We start from the raw sequence: 4,668 nt of genomic DNA, 5'->3' as shown, positions 1-4,668 counted from the left end.
GTTTCTCCTGTGAATGACACACTTCTAGTTTCTTCCCTGTGTAGCAGACACTTTCCATTCCTCCTGTTTATGATCCATTTTCTGTTACTCCCAGGTGCATGACATACTTCCTATTTTTCCTCTGTGCATGACACACTTCCTGTGCAAGACACATTTTCTGTTCCCCCTGTGCAAGACAGACTTCCTGTGCCTTCCCTGTGAATGACATTGTTCTTGTTTCTCCTCTGTGTAGCACATACTTTCTGTCCTTCTATATGCATGACATACTTTCTGTTTCTCCACTGTGCAGGACACATTTCCTGTGTCTCCCTTGAGGGGGACCCATTTTTCCTTTCTTCCCTGTGTAGCACTCACTTTCCATTCCCTGTCTGTACATGACCCATTTTGTGTTACTCCCATGTGCATGACACATTTCCAGCTTTTTTTTCCCTGTGGAAGACACGCTTCCTGTTTTTCCCCTGTGCAGGGCATGCTTTCTGTTTTAAATCTACGTATAACACACTTCCTATATCTCCCGTGTGGGGGACACATTTTTCTTTCCTGTGTAGCACACACCTTCTGTTCCTTCTCTGTACATGACACATTTTCTGTTACTTACTGACATGCCCATGACACGCTTCCTGTGTCTTACTTATGCAAAATACACCTCATGTTTTTCTTCTGTGCAGGACTTACTTTCTGTTTCTTCCCTGTGAAAGACACACTTCCTTCCTATGCCTCTCCTTTGAATGACAACCTTCCTGTCTCTCCTCTGTGTTGCAAACACTTTCCATCCCTCTCCTGTGCATGACATACTTCCTGTTTCTCCACAGTGCAGGACACAGTTCCTGTTTCTCTCCTGTGCATGACACACTTCCAGTGTCTCCCCTGTTGGGGATTCACTTTTTCTTTCCAGTGCAGCACACATTTTCCATTTCTCCTCTGTACCTGATATATTTTCTGTTACTCACATATGTAAGACACACTTGCTGTTTCTTCCATGTGCAGGACACACTTCCTGTGTCTTCTTAGTGCAGGACACACTTCCTGTGCCTCCCCTGTGAATAACAGCTTTCCTGTGTCTCCTCAATGTAGCACATACTTTCATTCCTCCTCTGTGCAGGATACACTTCCTCTGTTTCTCCTCTGCAGGACACATTTTCTGTTTCTCCCGTATGCAAGACACACTTCCTGTCCCTCCCCTGTGAATAACACCTTTCCTATTTATCCTCAGTGTAGTAAACACTTTGCATTCCTCTGTGATGACACATTTTCTGTTACTCCCATGTGCATGACACACTTCCGGTTTCTTCTCTATGCAGCACCCACTTTCTGTTCATTTTCTGTGCATTACCCCCTTCTTATTTCTCCAATGTACAGGACACAGTTCCTTTTCCTTTGATGTGTAGGACACACTTCTTGTTTCATCCTTGCACAGGACACACTTCCTGTTTTTCCTTTTGCAGGACCCACTTCCTTCGTCTCTCCTGTGCAGCACACTTTTCCTTCCTCCTCTGTGCATGACACACTACCTGTTTCTCCAATGTGCAGAACACACTTCCTGTGTCGTCTTTGTGCAGGACATACTTTTTGTTTCTCTGAGAAACTTCATATTTCTCTGCTGTGAAGGACACACTTCCTGTGTCTCTCTTGTGCAGGACACACTTCCTCTTTCCTGCGTAGCAAAGACTTTCTGTTCCTCTATTCATGACACATTTTCTGTTATTCCTGTGTGCATGACACATTTTCTGTTTTATCCTTGTGGAAGAAACGCTGTTTCTTCCCTGTGTAATATATGCTTTCTATGCTTCTGCTGTGTAGGACACACTTCCTGTTTCTCCCCTGTGCACCACACCCTTCCTGGTTTTTCCCTGTGCAGGACACACTTTCTACTCCTCCTCTGTGCGTGGCACACTTTCTGTTTCTCCACTGTGCAGGACACACTTCCTTTGTCTCTCCCATGCATAGCACCCATCCTGTTTCTCTGTGTGTAGCACATACTTTCCGTTCTTCCTCTGTGCATGACACATTTTCTGTTAGTCCCATCTGCATGACTCACTTCCTCTTTCTCCCTTGTGAATGACACTATTTCTGTTTTTCTCTCAGTGTAGCACATACTTTTTGTTTCTCCTCTGTACATGACACACTTCCTGTTTCTCCCTGTAGAGGGCACACTCCATGCTTCTCCCCTGTGTAGCACACACTTTCCATTCCTCCTCTGTGCATGACACGTTTTCTATTACTCTCATTGTGTCCAGAATTGGTGGGTTCTTGGTCTCACTGACTTCAAGAACGAAGCCGCGGATCCTCGCGGTGAGTGTTACAGCTCTTAAGGTGGCGTGTCTGGAGTCTGTCCCTTCTGATGTTCAGATGTGTTCGGAGTTTCTTCCTTCTGGTGGGTTCGTGGTCTCGCTGACTCAGGAGTGAAGCTGCAGACCTTCGCGGTGAGTGTTACAGCCCTTAAGGCAGAGCGTCTGGAGTTGTTCGTTCCTCCGGGTGGGCTTGTTGTCTCGGTGGGCTCAGAAGTGAAGCTGCAAATCTTCGCAGTGAGTGTTACAGCTCATAATAGCAGCGGGGACCCAAAGAGTGAGCAGTAGCAAGACTTATTGCAAAGAGGGAAACAACAAAGCTTCCACACTGTGGAAGGGGACCCCAGGGGTTGCCACTGCTGGCTCCGGCAGCCTGCTTTTATTCTCTTATCTGGCCCCACCCACATCCTGCTGATTGGTAGAGCCGAGTGGCCTGTTTTGACAGGGCGCTGATTGGCCCGTTTACAATCCCTGAGCTAGATACAAAGGTTCTCCACGTCCCCATCAGATTAGTTAGATACAGTTTTGACACACAGGTTCTCCAAGGCCCCACCAGAGCAGCTAGATACAGAGTGTCAATTGGTGCACTCACAAACCTTGAGCTATGCACAGGGTGCTGATTGGTGTGTTTACAATCCCTGAGCTAGACATAAAGGTCCTCCAAGGCCCCACCAGACTCAGGAGCCCAGCTGGCTTCACCCAGTGGATCCCTCACCGGGGCTGCAGGTGGAGCTGCCTGCCAGTCCCGGTGCCGTGCGCCCGCACTCCTCAGCCCTTGGGTGGTCGATGGGACTGGGTGCCATGGAGCAGGGGGTGGCGCTCGTTGGGGAGGCTCCGGCTCCACAGGAACCCACGGAGTGGGTGGGAGGCTCAGGTATGGCGGGCTGCAGGTCCCGAGCCCTGCCGGGCGGGAAGGCAGCTAAGGCTCTGTGAGAAATCTAGCGCAGCGCCGGTGGGCTGGCACCCACCTGCCACTGGGACCCAGTACACCCTCCGCAGCTGCTGGCCCGGGTGCTAAGTCCCTTATTGCCTGGGGCCAGCAGGGCTGGCCGACTGCTCCGAGTGCGGGCCCGCCAAGCCCACGCCCACCCGGAACTCCAGCTGGCCCGCAAGCGCTGCACGCAGCCCCGGTTCCCTCTCGCGCCTCTCCCTCCACACCTTCCTGCAAGCTGAGGGAGTGGGCTCCAGCCTTGGCCAGCTCAGAAAGGGGCTCCCACAGTGCAGTGGTGGGTTGAAGGGCTCCTCAAGTGCCGCCAAAGTGGGAGCCCAGGCAGAGGAGGTGCCCAGAGCAAGCGAGGGTTCTGAGGACTGCCAGCACGCTGTCACCTCTTATCATGTGCATGACACACTTTCTGTGTCTTTTCTCTGAAAGGCACACTTCTTGTTTCTTCTGTCTGCATGATATACTTTCTATTTCTCCCCTGTGCAGGACACACTTCCTGTGTCTCCCCTGTGCAGGACACACTTTGTTTCTTCTTTGTGCAGGAAACACTTCTTGTTACCCTCCTGAGACAGATACACTTCCTGTTTGTCTTCTGTGCAGCATACACTTCCTGTGTCTCCTTTGTGCAGGACACACTTTCTGTTCTTCTATTGTTCAGGTCATACTGCAGGCCACGCTTTCTGTTCCTCCTCTTTGCAGGACACACTTCCTGTGTGGCCCCTGTGCTTGACACATTTCCTGTGTCTCCCATGTGCAGGACACACATATTTCTATACCTCCCCTTTGCATGACGTACTTCCTGTTTCTCCCCTGTGCAGCGCATAGCTTCTGTTCCTCTCTTGTGTGTGACACACCTCCTGCATGCCCTGTACAGGACACAGTTCCTGTTTCTCCCTTGTGCTGAACCTAATTTGTAGGTTTTTTTAATCCCTCACCCGCTCCCACTATTTCCCCCAAGTCCCCAAAGTCCATTCTATCATTCTAATGTCTTTGCCTCCTCAAAGCTTAGCTCCTGCTTATATGTGAGAATATATGATGTTTGGTCTTCCTTTCCTGAGCTACTTAGAATAGTCTCCCGTTCTATCCAGGTAGCTGCAAATGCCATTAATTTAGTGCTTTTTATGGCTGAGTAGTATTTCACTGTATTTATTTCACTGTATGTATGTGTGTGAATATATATGTGTGTGTGTATATATATATACACACCCACTTATACACCACAGAGTGTGTGTGTATACACACAGACACACACACAGACACACACCAGAGTCCACTCATTGATTGATGGGCATTTGGGTTGGTTCCATATTTTTGCAATAAAAACTGCAATTACTTTTGTACAAAACACAATACTATTCTATAGGCTGAGTACTCTTCTAAGCATTTGAGATACAATATCATACAAAACAAATAAAACTCATCTTTTATGAAACTGAT

The 4,668-nt window shown here is 48.8% G+C and overlaps 1 annotated feature.

Moving 5' to 3' along the window:
• Positions 1,431-2,630: an enhancer, noted in NCBI's record as "MED14-independent group 3 enhancer chrY:19155795-19156994 (GRCh37/hg19 assembly coordinates)". NCBI's record gives its function as "activates an origin of replication core promoter dependent on BRD2, BRD4, P300/CBP and CDK7 cofactors, and independent of MED14, by STARR-seq in HCT116 cells {active_cell/tissue: HCT116}" and the evidence as "EXISTENCE:reporter gene assay evidence [ECO:0000049][PMID:35650434]".

The sequence above is a fragment of the Homo sapiens genome, chromosome Y (genome assembly GCF_000001405.40).
Source record: "Homo sapiens chromosome Y, GRCh38.p14 Primary Assembly".
NCBI lineage: Eukaryota > Metazoa > Chordata > Mammalia > Primates > Hominidae > Homo > Homo sapiens.
The sequence above is the reverse complement of the archived record's forward strand: the minus strand, read 5'-3'. Positions and strand labels throughout refer to the sequence as shown.